This window comes from Homo sapiens, chromosome 18 (assembly GCF_000001405.40).
Source record: "Homo sapiens chromosome 18, GRCh38.p14 Primary Assembly".
Lineage (NCBI taxonomy): Eukaryota > Metazoa > Chordata > Mammalia > Primates > Hominidae > Homo > Homo sapiens.
The window spans coordinates 45,550,319-45,569,482 of record NC_000018.10 but is presented as its reverse complement, the minus strand read 5'-3'; the positions used below and the strand labels follow the sequence as shown (position 1 = coordinate 45,569,482).

The 19,164-nt window shown below is 45.3% G+C and overlaps 1 protein-coding gene across 5 annotated transcripts in view, besides 1 other annotated feature; it reads right to left on the bottom strand.

Annotated features, from left to right (window-relative positions):
* Positions 1–19,164, bottom strand: part of SLC14A2 (solute carrier family 14 member 2) — a 515,726-nt gene that overhangs the window by 114,206 nt on the left and 382,356 nt on the right. The gene's annotated exons all lie outside the window — the stretch shown is intronic.
* Positions 14,219–16,392: an enhancer, noted in NCBI's record as "VISTA enhancer hs1464". NCBI's record gives its function as "enhancer in: limb[4/6]" and the evidence as "EXISTENCE:transgenic organism evidence [ECO:0001131][PMID:17130149]".

Genomic DNA, 19,164 nt, shown 5'->3' with positions numbered 1-19,164 from the left:
CATTGGATCTCTAAATCTTGAATTTTATTTTGTAAGGAGGAAGCTCATAGTAGATTCTAAGGGAGTAAGAAAGTGTAGCACTGGTATATTAATGAATCATTTAGAATAGAGTAAAGGGGTTAGTTCAAGGTTAAGAGATGAGTTTTATTTCAAATAGGGAGATAGTTGAGAGCATTTATAGGCTATTGGTGAGAAACCAGTAGAAAGAGAGAACTGGGTTTAGACGGGAGAAGGGCAACAGATTTTTTCAGACTGGAGGTAAGGATGGGTGAAGATAGAAATAAATAGAAGATTGAAGCTCTGTGTTGAGAAGCAGTTGGGATAAGGACAGTGGGGCATGAGGGGTGAAATTGAAGGCCCATGCCCTCCTAACTAGTGAAATGTTGGAAGTGCAACTTAGGCTAGAATCGGTACCTAATCTTTAGGGAGAAATGGGAGAGGTGGGCACTTCCTCCTACTTCCATCAAGCTAATTTAAATCCTACTCAGTCTCCTGGAAATGCTCTCAGTCCATAACAGCTTACAATACATTCCTCTTCTTTTACTGGATCCAGAATTTACCATCAATTCCATAGTGTCCAAAACATAACTATCCATAGCCCTGTATTACTCTTGTTTTATTCCAGATTGATATGCCACACATTTCTGTATCAGTCAGGATAGGTTAGGTTATGCTGCAGTAACGACCCCTCAAGTCTCTGTGGATTAAGACAACCAAGGGTTAGCTCTTACTTATACTATAATACATAGGTAGGTGCTGGCCTCTACTTCGTATTGTCATTCAGGGACTTGGGCTGACAAAGGGCTGCTCATCAGGCAGGCTAGGTGACAAAGGAGCTGCCTTCTTGAATGTTGCTGGTACCTCATGCCAAGGATAAAAGAATGCTTTCTGAAGTCTTGCCTCAGCAATTAATTCTGTGGCTCAGAAATGACATGACATTTTTGCTTACAACTCATTCTTCAGAACCACTCTCGTGGCTCTGCCCATCACAATGAGGAGGAAGTACAGTCCTACCATGTGCCTCAAATGGGGAGGGACCATAACACATTTAGCCAGCAGAACTCCTCCAGCTAGACAGCACGTCCCCTGAAGGCAAGGAGAGAGCAGCCCTCTGCTTCTCTGGTGGAGATGCTATATGGGGCAGCCATGGCTCCAATCATGAGGTAGGGACACACTGGCTGTGCCCATAGAGCTCATCAGTTAGCCTGGTCCTGCAGGCCATAGGCCATGAAGCTCATTAGGTGGGTGAGGTGAGGCGGGGGCAAGGCACAAGCCTGCTGGGGATGGCAGTGGGAGTGAAGGATCCCTCAGGAAGACACAGGAGGGAGGCTGCTCATGATGACTGGGACCTCGATGCTGCCATTTTGAGGGGTCTGGTGCCCCCACCGCCTCTCAGGATTGGGAGCTGGGCACTTTCATGAATGTTTGAATGAGGGGATCAGGACAGCTGAACACCCATGTTGGTTTGATTGCAGTGAACTGAGCATAAGAGCACTGGAAAGAACCGCCCGGGTCAAGCCTGTGACACCTCCCCTGACCCAGGAACTGTAGAACAGGTTGTGAGGGATGTGGCTGCCCTTCTGCACATCTTCACCATCTTCTCCTGAAAGATCCTGGGGTGGGTCTCTTATTCATGAATCACTTGCACTTGCCTGTTAAAAAGGTTTTAACATCATTTTATAGGCCCTCCTCTTGAATACTGACCATTTTGACTTTGAACCCAGTAACTGTCCAATGAAGTGATCAGGAAAGGTAGAGGCCGAGAGAGGTGGAAAGGTAGAGGCCGAGAGAGGTGGGCGGCTTGCTTGACGCAGGACAGCTAAAGACCAGGAGTTCTGCCTTCCTCACACTCCCCAGGATGGTCACACTCACCGGGCTAACCCCTGGACACAGGTTAGCTTTTTCAGAAATAGATTAAAATAACCTCACTCTTCTGAATTTAAAGGACACTCTGACTCTTTCCCAGTTTTTAAGATATCCTAGGTATTGAATAAAACAGAGAAGCTTCCCTTTGCTCAAGGATAACAGCCTGAAATCAGCAGACAGATCTGGGCTGTCCAGCCAGCTTGCTCTCTATCAGTCGGGGTCCCTTTAAGATGCAAAACTTGGAGGTAGGGAGGTCAAATGCAGGCCAGTGGAAGTTTCCACACTCTGTCTGTCTGGGCCAGCGTCTCTGTCTATCTCAGCTTAGGAAGGGTGGGCCCTTTTCCCACAGGCTTGAGATTTATGACTTTAGTCTGGGATGGTGGGGGTGGGCGTTGGCCTTCCCTACAGGAGCAAGTGGGTCTCTTCAATGGTAAACAGAGTTACAAAGAAAATTCCAAATGGGTACCCCTCAATCTGTGTCAGCCTTGCTCCCTGGTCCTTTTTCTCCTTGTGAGTTACACACACACACACACACACACACACACACACACACACACACACTATGTGCACATGTCCTCAGCTATAGAATGAGGCACAGTGATAGTGGTTTGTGTCTATATGTCCTGAAGTCCTCAGCTCAAATAAATCACCAGATTCCCATTGACCACATAAGGCAGAAACTTTTAGTTGTTACTTGAAAATACATTAAACACATACAAGCACACGTGCACACCCCCATTCTGAAAGCTTCTCACCTTGACTTCTAGCCCTCACCAGTACTTCTGATAAATCTGTCCTTCTGAGCAAAGCTGGAAGTATTCTCTGTCTGTACCGCCCTGCAGTTACCTGTTCGTGGAGATGTCATCTTCCTGCCCCCAAGAGTTTTCCTTTAATACACTGAAATATTGAGAAGCAAGAGCTGTAAGTATTGAAAGTCCTTGTGGAGATTAAATGGGAATCAGAAATCAGCAACTGGCTGGCTGAAGCCTTAATTATCAGTGGAGGGACACTCACAAGGAAGGAATTTGGGCTGAGTTGGGAAGGCTGGGGTGAGCAGTGATGTGGACACTGTGTGTGTGTGTGTGTGTGTGTGTGTGTGTGCGAGCGTGAGCGCATGTACATGCATGTCGAGGGTGACGACAGGGAGAGGCCTGCCATCAGCTTTTTATTAAGAGAGTTTTTAAATGGTCCTGTGTTTTAGGAAATCTGAATAAAGTTTTGTGCTTATGGGAGAATTCTCCCTACTTTCTTCCATTGAAGGCAGTATATCCTAATGAGAACACAGGCCCTGAAATCAGACTATCTGAATCTAAATCCTGGCCCCATGATTTCTAGCTGTGTGACTTGGGCAAACTCCTAAACTTCTCCAAGCCTCAGTTTCCTTGTCTGTAAAATGGGCACGATCAGAGCACTGACATTATAGAGTTGGGAGTGCTGAACGCCTAGCCCAGGGAGGGAAATCTGACTATTTCTTAATTTTCTATCTGAATTGACATTTGGGTTATTCCACATTTTTATTTCCTTACCTGTCACAACTCATAAACCAACCAAAGTTTTTACTTCCACAACAGAAATGCTTTGTTTCCTTAAGGAAGCTGTGCACAAACTGCCCACTACTCTGCCATTGAAACAAAACACACATGTCCCCACCTGACACTCTAGTGCCTTGTGACTTTATCTGGGGATAGAGCTGGAGCTGAGGTGTCAGCGTAAAAGGGCAAGGCAACTTTCTTCTCTCCTGGGTCAGGGCTGCCTGGGATGATTTATTGGAGTGAAGTGACCCCTGAGGCAGAGGGAGGAGGACAGCCATCACAGGATGGAACTGACATTCCTTCCTGTGCCTAGAAGGGCACTCTGCCTGTGGAGAAGCGGGTCAGGGCACGCACACTGATTCAGCCCTGGCTGTATGTGGGTAGGAGCCGATGCGTGTGCTGGGAACATCCTGCAAATGCTGTCGGGATGCCTGGGGACAGCTTGAGTTCTGCCACCGACCAGATGTGCAGTCTTGAGCAAGTTGCCTCGCTTTCCTGAGCCTCATCGTCCTCATGTGTCAGACTGATATCCACGACGCCAGCCCATTTCTCCTGCAGACTTCATGACAATCCCTTCCTTCCCTCCCTACACATGCTTACACGTGCACAAGTGCACACAACATATGCACATGCATGCTCACGTAGAAGCACATGCATGCGGCTGGGTGTGGTGGCTCATGCCTGTAATCCCAGCATTTTGGGATCCCACGAGGCGGGCGGATCATGAGGTCGGGAGATCAAGACCATCCTGGCTAACGCAGTGAAACCCCATCTCTACTAAAAATAGAAAAAATTAGCAGGGCTTGGTGGCGGGCGCCTGTACTCTCAGCTACTCGGGAGGCTGAAGGAAGGGAATGGTGTGAACCCGGGAGGCGGAGCTTGCAGTGAGCCAAGATCATGCCACTGCCCTTCAGCCTGGGCGACAGAGCAAGACTCTGTCTCAAAAAAAAAAAAAAGAAGCACATGCATGCACGCTCACAATACACCATAGTTGCAGGCACTCATGTCTATAAACGCATGCACGAACACACACACATCACCCACATGTGCTCTTCCACAGCTATCTGAATTGTATCCAGTTCAAGTTCCACCTCCTGACTTCCTGGGCCTTCCCATCCTACCCTCATCACTTGCTTGTCTCAACTTCAAAGCCTCCCCATACAAAGTCTCACTTTAGTTACCTTGTCATGTTTGAATTGTTATACTGCTGTGCTGTGTTTGTCTCTCCAAATGCAGTTAATTCCTTGACAGACTTAGGTGCAAAGATCTCTCCCCGAGAACCTCCATAGCGTGCACAAGTGAATTTCCTGTCATGATAATGATGCTTAAACTCCAGAGCCCTTCATTGGCACAATGCACGTACACAGTCACGTGTTTTTATGTAGCTGGCAAAAGTGAGATATTTCAACTATAATCTCTTAAAACCATTGTTTCTCCCTGGCATATTTCCCCCTGGCATCCCCTTCCTCATTTTGGGGGGCATTGATGCTGCCACTTTGAAAACTAGCTAAGGGGCAGTTGAGCTGGGGCTGTGTTTGGTTTAGGTTCAGTGCGAGGTGTTTGTGTAGTTTTAGTCACCTCTCTGTGTAACTCACTCATCAGTAGCTGTCACCATGTGGAAAAAGCTGCCAGGAACACTCCTGTTACCCACTGTGCAGACATCCTCTGTCTTGTGCCATGAAAGGGATGCAGTTGTACAGAGACCTGAGTATCTGTGTCCTGCAGAGCCCAGCACTGGAAGCATATAGATGGTGAAAGAGAAACAAGTTTTTAAATGCCCAGAGCCAGAAGCTACTTGGCGGGAAATTCCTCCAATCATTAGGTATGTAAAATCACAAGAGCATTCTCATCACTGCCTCATCAAAATAAAAGTTCTCTCTTGTCAAGAATACACTCGATCATGCAAAGTAATAAAATTATATATGCACCATTCATCTTGTTTCTTTTTTGATGGGAATTACTGACTTAGAATTTATCAGAATCCCCATGTTTAAATGTCTTGCTGATTTGACAGGAAATACTGACATTGATGGAGATAACATAAAACTCATTATACGCCACTACAATGAGGGCATCGATGACAATCTGGTTAGTAAGTTTCATAAATTCAAAGAGCATTTTAGATTTGTTGCTGTGAAAGAAAAAATGCCCTGAAATCTCATAGCTCATATGTGAAAGATACTTGACAGAGGTTTTCCCAAAGTTGATAACAATCCTGAAAATTCACGTGGCATTACCAGTGACAAATTGTGAGACTGAAAGAAACCTTTCCAAACCGTGAATAATAAAGTACAAAATTTGATCAGCTTGTTAGAAGATAGACGGAATTATCTTTGTATTCCCTCTATAAAGTCATATTGAAAAATTATAGTCATTTAAAGAGATGATCAAAGAGTTTGCAGTTTGGTAAAAGATAGACTGAATTATCTTTGTATTCTCTCTATAAAAATGATATTGAAAAATTATAGTCATTTAAAGAGATGATCAGAGAGTTGGTAGCCAAAAAAAATGTAGGAAGAAAAGTATTACGGATGTGTCAGACAGTTATTTTAGATTTTGTGGTGCCTGTAGAATTTGTCAGCTTTTTAAAATGTGTAATTTGTTGTGACTTCATTCTTTCTCAATAAAATTATACTTTCGAATGTAATTTTGCATTTGGGATTTTGAATTCTTTTCTTTTTCTTCAAGAGGGCCTTCTAAATTGTGAAAGCTTCTGGCCCCACAACACTGGTCTGCCCTTATGTTCCCCCCAGTTCCTACAGAGAGCTCCCGGTCACAGCACTCTTTGGCCTGTGGCTGCCAGCACAGACTTTGGCCATGAGGGCGGGGTCTGGGGTGGCACTGACAAGGCACCCATCCTGAGCCAGTGGGGGATGCAGGTCTGGCAGACCTCACACATCTTTAGAGACCACCTGCCTCTCATTCTACAAGGGGCAAAACTTTTGTCACACTGCCTCAGAGGGCCCAAACCTTCCCACCAACCGTCTTGTCAGGGCCTGGCTGGGCCCTGCCAGCCCCCCTGCGTTTCCTTTTAATAAAATTTAATGTTTTCATTTTCAAAGACCTAGAAAATCCAAACACTTTTTAAAAGCCCCGAGGAACTATAAAAATTAATAGCACAGGGATAATTTCTTTTTCAGTGGCGACTCAATTAAACCTGCCAAAGTCAGACAGTGTGATTTAAATGCACCGCTTGCAGAGGGACCAGAGCAGAGCAGGCAAACATGGAATGAAACAATAATATTTACCAATTACCCTCTTGGTTGTTTCCCACCCAGCCCCTTCCCCCCAGGGAGAATTTTTTCCTTCCCTCCCTCCTCTCCGGGGGCCAGAGCTCAGCATCCCTAATTGTTTTCTCCTTGAATGATCATATTGCTATCAACAAGTGACTGAACTTCTTCTCTGCTCAGAGTAATGGAAAAATACCACCCAGGCCGGCTGCCCGGGCCAACAAGCCACATGGACTTGTTGTGGGGCTAAGATCAACTTTGAAAACAGAAGAATGGCTCCAAGTTCAATCCAGCCAGACACTCCAGCCAGACAAGACATCTAACATTCCATGCTTAGTCCTGCCCCAGGACACTTGCTCCTGCTGTCCCCCTGCCAGGAATGCCCTCTCTCCTATTCATTGAACACTTACTACTGAGCACCTAAAGCTTGTATTTTCTTCAAGACCCCTATCAAGATCAAGTTCCTTTAGGAAAGCTTTCCTGATAAGACCCATATCCATGTAGATTTCACTCTTACTTGGTCTACCTTCAGCTCTTCTCTATCAGGTCAACTGACATTATCTTTTAATTACGTATAGACTGGGCACTGTCCTAGAGCTTTTAACTTGTAGATTCACAACATGCTTATCTGTTCTGCTAGACTGTAAGCTCCTTAAAGGGAGGAACTCTTCTGAATGCATCTCTTAGAATGATTCAGTGTATTTAGTTTGGTGTTGTGCACCCGATGGAGGTGTACTAATTGCATTTGAACTGGAACGGGGAGTCTCAACATTTTCTCTACAACAGGAGAGAGAACTGGGTGCCTCAGGAAATAGGCACAGGAATTTCAATGCAGCATTGTTTGCTTAAAAAAAATATATACCTGAGCTAAATGTCCATCCATGAAGGCATGGATAAAGAAATTAGGGAATATGATGACTTGCCATAGAGCAGTTAAATAAAGAAAATGGAGTCAAATCATCAATCTATATAGATCCCCAAATAGAAATGTTGAGTGAAAAAGACAAGTTGCAGAATAATGTTAAGATACAATTATGTAAATTCAGTGCCATATCGACAAATACTATATAGTGTTTTAGAGATCCATATGAATATATCCATTTGAGAACACACGGATGAAAAAGAAATATGTACAATTCATAATAGGGTTGTTGCTGGAGAGGGAGGGAGGGGAGTGGGAGTGGGACCTAAGAGTTTTTAATTCCTTCTGAATATTTTTCATTTTTATTAAAAAATATGAAGCAAATAAGAGAAGGTTAACATTCACTATTTCTGCTTGGTGAGTACATAGGTGTTTGTGAAGTAGAGTCAGGCATGATAGCCACCCAACGGGCTGCCCCTCCTCCTGGCATAAGACTGGACACCCTTTCCCAGCCTCATTTGCAGTGAGCTGCAGCCAGGCCAGGAACGTGGCCTCTGGAACACCTGGCCTGGGTTCCGCAGCCCTAGCAGCAGACAAACTGCTTGTTTTGCTGTCACTCTCTTGCAGAGAGCTTCCCCAGACTAAGTGGGACTATAGGGAACAGGAAGAGGGAAGCATGACCACTGAGCAAAGTCCCAAGGCCTTCTTCTGCCCACAGGATGGATTTTCAGCTGGCTCCCCGACAGGCACGTTGCCTTCATTCACCCTCCTACCCAGAATGTCCTCCCTACAGCTGTTATGGCACATACTCAACCATAAGACTCTTCTGCCTGGTCCAGGCCACTGTGGCTGGTGACAGTGGCCTCCCGTGGCTCATCCCTCACTCCTCATATCCTCCCTCCAGTCCTCAGAAATCTTATCTCTACTGCTTATTTTGTCTTTCACCACACAGTATCCTGTGCTGTTGCTTATATCTTGGTGACAGGGACAATGCCTTATCTTTGTATCTCTCTGTCAGGGAATGACCTAAGTTGACTTTTTCCGTGTTAAGCAGAAGAGAAGAGAATAGCAGTGTTTAATTTGGTCTTCCTCTAGGAGCCCAATGAGGATAGCACATTGGCCTCTTCTGAGGCTAGAATTTCTAGAGTTGGGGTAAAAGGGACCCTTCCTGGAGAGAGGTGGGGACAAGCAGGAAGTCAACCCCAGGACATGAAAGAGGTGAGGGTATGGGGGCTCCAACAATGAGCTGTTGGGGAAGGGGCTGAATTTTATTTTCATTTCAGAGAAGATCAAGGCTAACTCTAGCCAGGGTTTCTTGCATTGCTTTAAACTTTATGGCTTCCTGTGTTTCTTATTTTTGTTATCACTTTTCATTCCTCCATAGGGGCTTCATATAAGTTCCCTTAGAATGCAAGGGGATTGTTTGTCTCAGAGGCAGCTGGGCAGGTAGGGGAGATATCTGGAATCAACTTCCTATTCCTCAGCCTATCCTAGAGGAGTAGAAGGCTCTGTTGAGAGGGTTGGAGACCATGGCTGAGAAGGAGGGCCAAAAAGGGGCTAAATCCCTGAGGTATATGGATAAAAAGGAGGTGGCAGTGGGAAAGTCCAGGATGGAGAGGAGATTCTGGGGGTAGAGATGGGGTCTTCATCTGTGGTGGAGCAATGGTCAGTTACTGACCTTTTGGCCTTAGACAAAGCTATTTAGCCTCTCTAAGACTCAGGTTCCTTATTTTTAGAAAAGAGATAATACACCTTGGCTGGTCTGCTAAGGTTTTAATGAATAAAATAGGTACAAGTGTTTAACAACCACTGGGTGCTATCCAAATATATGCTATTGCCCTGGCTAATGCAGTAGATGCCAGACAAATGCAGGCCAGTCAGAATGAATAGGCAGATGACGATGAAGCAGTGAGCTCCCTGGGAGGGGGCATATGTTCATAGGTGGGTCCAGAGGTCCAGGGCAACGTGTAGGCAGAGGACATTTAATAGGGACTTGGGCCACACCCAGGAAGCCTCTGCTCCATGACCTTGATGTGGTGATCCCTTATCTCCTGAAGGCCAGACACCTTGGGTCAAACATTCTCTTCCCTAGGGAACAGCCTTTGGGCTGAAACCTGGTACTTTCAGCTAATGGTGGATCCTGTGGGTTCTGGCACTACAGCTGGAGGCCACAGTAGGGTGCACCCCAAGGAGGACAGGGAAAACAAAGCAGTCTCTTGGATGTTAGTAATCTAGTCTCTACTGAGTTTAGCCAATGGCACCAGAGCACCATAACCACATGTTTAGAAAATAAGGTGACAACAATGAAGGTGATTAGAGAAGGCTTTGGTACAAATCCAAGTTGTAAATATTTTGGAGGAGAGTGGGAGGACCATATGGATTTTATACCACAGGGCTTTGTCCACCTGAGACACCTAATTTCCCATTTTTTCTGGGAGACAAAGTCTGAACATCCTATTTGGACACTGGAACCTCCCACAAAGTGGCCAGATGGTATTTCTGGTGATCTCTCCTACTTTGGCTGTCTTGTACAAGCCTCCTTTCTGCTGAGTGAGCAGAACACACTAACCCATTTTAACGTGCCATCTTGTTCCTTTTTTCCTAGCCAACTCTACCATCTCATCAGAGCCCAACTCAAATCTCACCTTCTTCCCACAGGATTAAGGGGTTCAACTTCAATGACAATTCTTGATCTTCACCACTCTTCCATTTCTAACCTCCCCAAATGCTCAGTGCCTCTTTCCTTTGTTTGACTTTTTAGCATTCTCTGACTAACATTGTGGCTGCTTACGTATCTCATCTTTTCTTTTATACTATGAGCCCCCTGAGAGAACTGATTGAGTTTAGCCTATAACCCCCTCTAATCCACCTAGCACAATGCTGGACACATAAGAAACTCAAAGGGGCCAGGTGCAGTGGCTCATGCTTGTAATCACAGCACTTTAGGAGGCCGAGGCGGGCGGACCACGAGGCCAGGAGATTGAGACCAACCTGGCCAACATGGTGAAACCCCGTCTCTACTAAAATACAAAAAATTAGCCAGGTGTGGTGGTGCACACCTGTAGTCCCAGCTACTCTGGAGGCTGAGGCAGAGGAATCGATTGAACCCAGGAGGCGGAGATTGCAGTGAGCCGAGATCGTGTCACTGCACTCCAGCCTGGCGACAGAGTGAGACTCCGTCTCAAAAAAAAAGAAACTCAAAGGATTCTATCTCTATCTCTTGGAAAGATAGAACCCTGGTGACCAAATAATCCTTTGTCCCTTGGTATCTATGGTCAAATGGACACTTGTGGCGAATTCAAACTCATGCTCTCCAAGGTGCAAGCACTAACAGGTGACCCAACCTGACTTTGGCTCACACTTCCATAGTTTCTAATCCACCCCAGTGAGACTAAAACTCATGATTATTTCCTACAGAAAACACAACACCTGTGGTGATGCTGCTTTTGTGGTTTCTTCTCTGCTCTACACTCAGTTTCTGACCACTTCCCTTCCACTCCTGGGACACAAACTCACAGTCCAGTATGAGCTCCCACATGGCCCTCCTTACCAGTGCCATTCCTCTCTCATTTCCATCTTCTCTGTACAGTGTCTACTGCTCCAGTGCTTACTATTTAGCTGGGGTGAGTGTGATGAGCCAGACTCACAGATTAATACTGTATAAGGCAGGGTCGTACTAGTGACATAAGTGATGCTTTCCAGAAAGACTGAACTGGCTTCAAGTGGGTGTCCTTAGGGGTCTACAATAAGGAGACAGCATTTGAACTGAGCTTTAGAGGACAGATGGGATTTGGAAGGACAAAGGAGAGAGAAAGGTACCAAATCAAGAGCCAAGGGTGTTAGGAGAAAGTGACTTGAGAGAGTAGCTGGAAAGGAGGGACTATAGGAGGTGGAGAAGAAAGGTAGATGAAGGACCAGGAATTGGAATGATCTGAGAGGCTACCTGGCAGACAGCTTGGCAGGCCCTCAATAATGCCAGGTATTTATACCTGAAGTGGTTTCTGAGTGTCTTTGAGTGGACATCCTGGGTGTGTCACTTATGGAAATGCCCCAATCCTCAGGTATGGGGTGAATTCATCAGGAGTTAAAGGGAGGACACCCTCATGGGTCTATACTGATGCCAGTCTAGGAAGGGTCTCTCCTAAGTGCCTAACCTGCTTTAGGGTGTGAATGGTCTCTAGGAAGGATTAATTAAATGGGCAAGAAACTATGGCTAGGCTCCTTGCAAGGACAATGAGAAAGCACTTGCCAGGCAGAACAGGCAAAATAAGGGAAGAAGACCACACTAGGAGGGGATGCCTAACTCACAAACTCCAGGCCCAATATATGGGGCCTCTGACATTGTCTTAGGAAGGGAAAAACTTCTCATGGCCGTCATCCAACTCCAGAGAAGCTGAGAATAGGGACCCTGAAAGAGGCAGCATTTGGGGACATTTTTGGGAGGTGAGAGGAGAATGTGAGTCAGACCCAGCTGCTCGAGGCTATTTCCAAACACCTTTTCCTTAGGAAGTTCAAGAGCACATAGCCACAGAACCTGAGCCTACAGTGTGACAGGATGCCAGGAAAATAAATGCAACTTACACACATTAATGGAGCCTGGCAGCCTGGCTTGAGCATGTTAGGCACTGCTTTCAAAGAGACGCATTGGCGACTGAGGACATCAAGCTCAGCATGGCAGGGACTAGAGGGAACCTATTGCAGAAACAGTTAGAGAATGGGAAACAGGTAGCATGGCATGAGATGATGGGGTGAGAATGAAGCAGGTTACAAAGCTGCAGCAGTCAAATGTCTATTGAACTGTGACTGGTCGAGGGTCAACACTGTGGCCAGTGCTTCCATGGCAGCAAAACTAAGAATGCAAAGGATATTGGCTTCCAAATACCTGAGAACTGTACAACAAGCAAAGGTGCTGGCTGTGCTAGCATTGGCTACTCTTTCTTGAACACTTACCCTATGCGGGGAGTGATGCTATATTTCACTGTAGCATAAACCTGGTTGGACTCAGATTTGCAGATCTGTTACTTTGGGTTTATTTGGGACATGTGGGAATGCCTTCTTTTGGTGGGTGTATTCTAAAGATTTCTTATATGCATAAAGTTTTTGGCAATAACAGTGTAAGAGTGGTGTGTCTCAGGAGTGGGAAAGTCAAAACCATGTACCCCTATGGGAGCTCCATATTGGAATCGACTGCCTACATCATTTTTGGCAGGCACAGTCAACACATCTGTGGATTTAGCTATATACAGATTGCATACAATGTCATAGGTAGATAAATATAAATTGTATTGTGTAAATATAAATACAGAATTTTAAGCAGCAGGGAAATCACAATATATATTGTCTCATTTAATCTTCACACGAATCCCATGATTTAACTACTATTATCTTCATTTTACAGAAAGGGAAGTCAAGACATAGAGAGATTAAATAAATTGCTCATGCTCAATTAGCTGGTAAGTGTCTGAAGTAGGCCGAGAACCCAGACCTCCTTGAAGGTCTTAGTTTCTATGCGCTACTGGAGGTATCTACACAAGGCATAAAGGAAGACTTGTCAGGGATGCTGATAAGAGAATTTTTGCCTTATGGGTAGGGTTTGATAAGATTCCTTCCATGTCTTCAGGTCTGTGGTGTGGCATCTGGGGTTTTCAGGAGGCCACACCATAGACCTGCAGGGTAAAACACTAAAATATATGATAAGGTGGTTTCTGTGGTCTGCATGTTGTGTTTCCCCAAAATTTATATGTTGAAATCCCAACTTTCAAGGTGATGGTACTAGGAGGTGATTCAGTAACGAAGGAAAGCACTCATGAATGCAATGACTGTCCTTATGAGAGGGACTTTGGAAGTGTCTTTGCCCCTTTCACCACATGAGCATGTAACGAGGAGAAAATGGCAGTCTGCAACCCAGAAGAGGGCCCTCACTAGAACCTGACCATGCTGGCACCCCGATTTTGGACTTCCAGCTTTCAGAATTGTGAGAAATAAATGTCTGTTGTTTATAAGCCACCCAGTCTATGGTAATTTGTTATAGCAGCCCAGATGAACTAAGACAATGAGCTGGACCCTGCACACTCCAATGCAATGCCAACGATGTGGAATTGGGCAGGCAGTCTGGCACAAGGGCAAGGTGAGTGAAGTCTGTTTACACCCCCAGAATCCCTGTTTTCTTTGTAATTTTTCCTTGCTGTTTCTTTAATGTTACCCAGCCCTTGGCGACCCAAGTAGCTGATCTGTCTCCATGAGGGAACATTAAGCAGCCAAATGGAGAAAACTCAAGCTGGAGGCCTCAAATACATCCACTCAGAGTGTCTAAGCATTTTTTGATTCATAATAAAAAAAATTCCTATCTTTGCCTTGGAGATCCAGAGATGCCCTGATTTCTGGTGGGATGGGAAGTGTCCACTTTGAATTCTAAGATTGGTTTATGTATGAATCCTCATCAGCCATGAAGAGTCTGTTGAGCTTTTTTTCTGTAGATTGTATTAAGGAAGTCACAGGTAGACTCTTTGGTTTTCAAATACAGCTGCTCCCCAACTTATATTTTTGACTTATGATATTTTCAATGTACCATGGGTTTATCTAGATGTATCCCATCTTAAGTCAAAGAGTGTACTGAGTGTGTATCACTTTTATACCATCAGAAAGTTGAAAAATCATAAGTCAAACCATTGTTAAGTCAGGGACCATGTGTATAAAACTATATTATACCATTGAATGTTCTTATTAAAACCATGAATGCTCCCTTCTCCCCTCCCCTTGGAATTGTGATATACTCCTTATGAGGGTATGCTACCTTGTACCTCTGCCCTCACAACTGAGAATCACTGGTCTCCTGGAACCCTTATAGCTGAGAAACCAGAGATAGGAATTAACTTGGTCACAGCCACAAAATAACTTATTCAGCTCATTCAATTTGGTTCTAGTCAACAAATATTTATTGAGCAACTACTACATCCCTGGTATCCTAAAGGCAACAGGTACATTTGCAGTTTCAAATCCATCTCAAGGGAAGGAACTCTCTGACTAAAGGACTGAGTGGTAGAATTTTGGTACTGATGGGGAATAGTCTTACTAAAATCCCACATTACAGACAAATGTCTGCATAACTAATATAAAAAGGATCAGCCCTGCATGGATGCCCAGGTTTGAAGATGGCAAGAAATGAGGGGGTTTAGAGATCTTTCCCTAAAGTAGCAGCATATCTGCTGCTCCTCTCTTGTCAACACCCTCTTCTCCTTGGAACTGGTCTTATACCCTGCCTGCTGTTTCCTTTGTTGTCGTTTTATCCCCACCATGTTGGGCAGAAGGGCGGCCCTCCTTATTCCCCCCCACACCCCCATCCTTCCCAGCACAAGGTTCCATTCTTTATTAATGCTGTTTTAAAGCCAGCACGGAGCTGTTTTCCAGATGTGGCCATGCGCAGACAGTAATTGTGCTCTGTGATCCCTTCCAGCTGCTCCCGTTGCTTGCCAACAAATTCCCTCCACCCCCACCTTGCAGCCCCAGGAGTCCATGTTTGGGGGCTGCAAATTAGGGCAAACGTTGTAAAATGATCATGTGCTACCCATGGCCTTCCCCAGAAGAATTATGGACTTTATAACTGAGCTAATTGGCATTAGGTCTTGCCTGAAAGGTCAACAGAGTGGCAGAGAAACAGGATCTTTGTAAATTGATCGGTTGCTTTCCCCCTTCTTCCCCCCAACTCCCTTTCCAGTTTTGAAATATGGCCTACCTGCCCCATGGAATTGCTGACTCTTGTAAATTACTGCTTTGACTGTATGGGACTGTGACACATTGTCTCATATCACGTGGAAGCCAGTGGGGATGTTGAAGGGGTGCATAATTATACCCTGCAAATTCTTCTACCATACCGCAAGCTTCGGCCTTCATGCACCTCTGTGAAGTGGGGCATTGTAATGCTCTTGACCTTCAAATCAGGCATGATTATTCAAGAGTAGCATACAGCCTTTGGCTTTTTTATTTATTTAGTTTTGCTCCGAATACATGAGTTCATTTGGAATGATCTTGCAGCACAGCATACACCATTGCCTTTCTGTTGTTTCTCAGATGGGAACCCTTGTATGGCGTTTTTTTCATTCCACAAATTCTTATTGAGCGTGTTATAGGCAGGGTCCAAGACTGACTTTAGGAGGGAAAGAAAGCTGTCTTCTGGAGTCAGAAATGTTATGTTCTAGCTATAGATTGTGTGGGTCCCTTTCTGCTTAGGGCCAACTGAAGCCTTATGGTTTTGAAATGTCTGTCCTTCCCACATCTGGCACTCACTATTTGGGGTTAAGCGTTGAAGGTCCTTGCTAAAACATACATAATATTTGGGAGGAATAACTCATTAAACTTGTGGTTCTTGCCCTTCTCCCCTTTTTTTCTTAGTAAAGGGCCCTCGAGAATCTAATGAAAGTTGACCTCATACAGCACACCCTCACCCCACTCACAGGCATTTTGCTTACAATCTCCAGCTGTTCTTGACTCTTCAAATCTCAACTATGGATCAATGCTAAGTTAGGAATCCCTGCTCAGTTGTCATCCTCACCCATCAACACTATTGCCCACTTAAGCTGATTAAGCCCCTTCTAGCAGAGAGGTTGGAGGAATCAGGGCTTAGGCTGGTCAAGGGAATGGGAAAAGTGAGGGAAGCAAAGCTTCAGTGGCCTACTTTGGGGCCACAGTGACATAGGGGGCCTGAAAATCAACTATTTGTATGTACAATTCTTTTTCAAATGTATGGAAGCCCTGTTGGGCTATGAACATTGTGGATTTGTTTAGAAATGTGGACATCAAGTGTTTGCCCAATCCACAAATGCCAAAATGGTAACTGTTATTAGGCTGGGAAGTGTTTGTAAGGTTATTAAATGACAAACAGGGTTTTTTGAGCTGGGAAATTTGGGAGCCCCTGATCTACCCTGTCACCTGGGTAGATCTGATGGCCCAGGTCACCATCATCTCTCACCTCATTGCTACCTTAGCCTGAGCACATTCTCCTTTCTTCTATCCCTAGCCAACACTGCAGCCAGGATGATCCTTTTAAAATATTAGGTTCTCCTAAATTGAACCCTCCCATGGCTGCTATCTCACCCTGAGCTAAAGCCAAATCTTTGCCATGGCCTCATGCTCTGGGCTGATCTGTTGTCCTCCCCTTTGCTTTCTTTCCCCCAGCTCTGCAGATCCCTGCTGTTCCTCAAACATGCTGGGCAAGTGCCCATCTCACGTCTTTTGCACTGGCTGCTACCCTCTGCCCATCACACACCTGTTCTATGTCTTCAGATAGCTGGTCTCCTTCCCCCTTTCCAGGTCTCTGCTCCTCTTTGTCTAACCACTGCCTGCCATGACACTCTTCCTCCCTCATCCATTTTGTTTTTCCACACACACCCAGCACCACATAACTTCATGGTTATTTGTTTTTGTTTGTATTTTCCCACCAGAACATCAGCTCTGTGAGAACAGGTACTTTGTCCAAGGTGTCTATGGCTGCATTGTAGTGTGGGCTAAGTCGGTATTTGTGAAATGAATGAGTGTCCCAGCTTGAGGACACGGGGGTTGGGGGGTGGGAGAGCAAGAAAGGAGAAGGGAAACTCACACAAAGAAAATGCAGGGGGTGGGGGAGAGAAGGAGCCTGGGGCTGGCAGGGCCCAGCTGCATTCCCCTTCTCCTTGCTGCTATGCGGGCCATGGGAGTCAGAGGACTGAGGCTCAGTCACTCAAACTCATGGCACCTCATCTATCACATGGAGCATGTCCCTTGTTGTCCTTTCTGCCCTAATGCAAGCTGCATGGAGAGTTTTCTTGGGCCCATTTCATTCTCCTGTGTCCCTTGTATCTTTCAACGCCAAGGAAGGGTGGGCTAATAATTAAGGACATATATGGACAAGAGCCCTGTATGGGTCACGGATCTGCTACTAAAAAGTTAGTTATTTCACTTCTCTGGGTCTTATTTCTAAAGCTACAAAATAGAAGGGTTTGTTAAGAAAATCTCAAAATCTAAGTGATTCTATTATGAAAAGGAATGTGAGATGCAAATTAACTTTAAACTCTTATGAATACTATGCAATAGTACTTATGGCAATATCAGCTGAGGATCAGTGTTCCAGAAGGTGGCATTCAGATGGACAAAGGGAATTTCCACATAAGTCTCCCCTTCCAACTCTGGGATGTGGTGCAGACGACAGTAAACGTGGATGAGACCAGCTTTCCACTGTGAAGCCAGTGTATCAACATTTGTAGCCACTAGACATGCAGAAGTGCTACCTTTCACAGTCACTGCCCTGCCCTCCTCTGGGCCAACCTTCCCTCCCACAGCATGCACTCACTACTCTTCCCTTCTGTACATTTCCTGCTCCCCATGCCTTCATCTTACAGCCTCCCTACTTGATAGCCCTCATGTTGACACATCTCACTTCCCCTTTCTCCCAACATAGAGGAAGACATGCCAGAGAGCCTGGACTGACATCGAGGGCCGGCCCAGACAGAACCTGGTCAGAAGGGAGCCTCCCCAAATGGGTTGAGTTCTGTTGTCCCAACAGCGGTAGCTGTTTTCTTATTGGTGAGTTCCAAGCCCTTGGCCCCCAGTCTGCTGCAGCTCTGCGCTTTGAGCATCACACTGCAGCTTTTCCTTAAAAGGTTTTCACAAGTTCAGAGCAGTCCTGGGTATTGGGGAGTTGGAATTATTTTTACCCATGTGCAGCTGAAATAGCCATCTGCCATCACACCGCCCAGTTCCCCACTGTGTTTAAAATCCATCTGGAGTTCTTTTTTTTAAAATTCCCCATATTAAAAAAAATAGTGTCTTGGTGCAAAGGAAGGTATTTCTTCATGTCTTTCCTGCCTGTAGCAGAACTTGTCTTAGAGTACAGAATGAACTTAGGGCTACTCATTGCTTGTTCTAAGCCATATTGATTAATTATTGGTTCTAGGCCCATGTTTTTCCTTACTCTAGGGACATCTATCTTTCTGTATCTAAATGAAATTCACAGCCCAGCTCATGTCACCTCCTCCATGAAGCCTTCCTGATTATTCTAGCCCTCTCTTCTCTGAAGTCACTACAGCAGGAATAAGTCAGTTCCGTAGCTCTTAGTCCTTAATTTTCTTCTATATGCCTCACCTGTGTTGGCACTGTATCTCTCAGCTCTGTGACAACTGGGACTATGTTGATCTTGCAGTCATCACAGGACCTGTCCCAGAAGGAAACCTTCTATAGTGTCCTGGAATGTCCTCTAATCCCTTATTTTCCTCCAAGACTCCTCAGATCCAGCCTTAAACAGCTCAGATTTTCACCACACTTGGATTCTTATAATGTCAATGAAATTGCCAGAATTCAGTATAGTGCACACTCTCTGTCGAGAGCCATGAGGGGCTCAATAAATGACTCTGATAAAATGAAGGTGGTAATGGTGATTGAGCCATTCATTTATCTGTTAGGATCCTGATAAGTGTCAGGCACACAGGCAGGTTCTGGGGTTCAGGGATGAATACGCCACACTCCCTACCTTCAGAGAGCTCACAGTCTAGTGGAGGAGACAGACTGTGAGCACTTCAAAGTGATTTCAGATGAGGGAGCAATTAACTCAATATGGGATTTCCAAATTTTGATATTTGAACTTGAGGGTTCAGGAAGAGGATGCACAAGGGCATGGAAGTGGGAAGAACTGGGGGGTTCAGGGAGC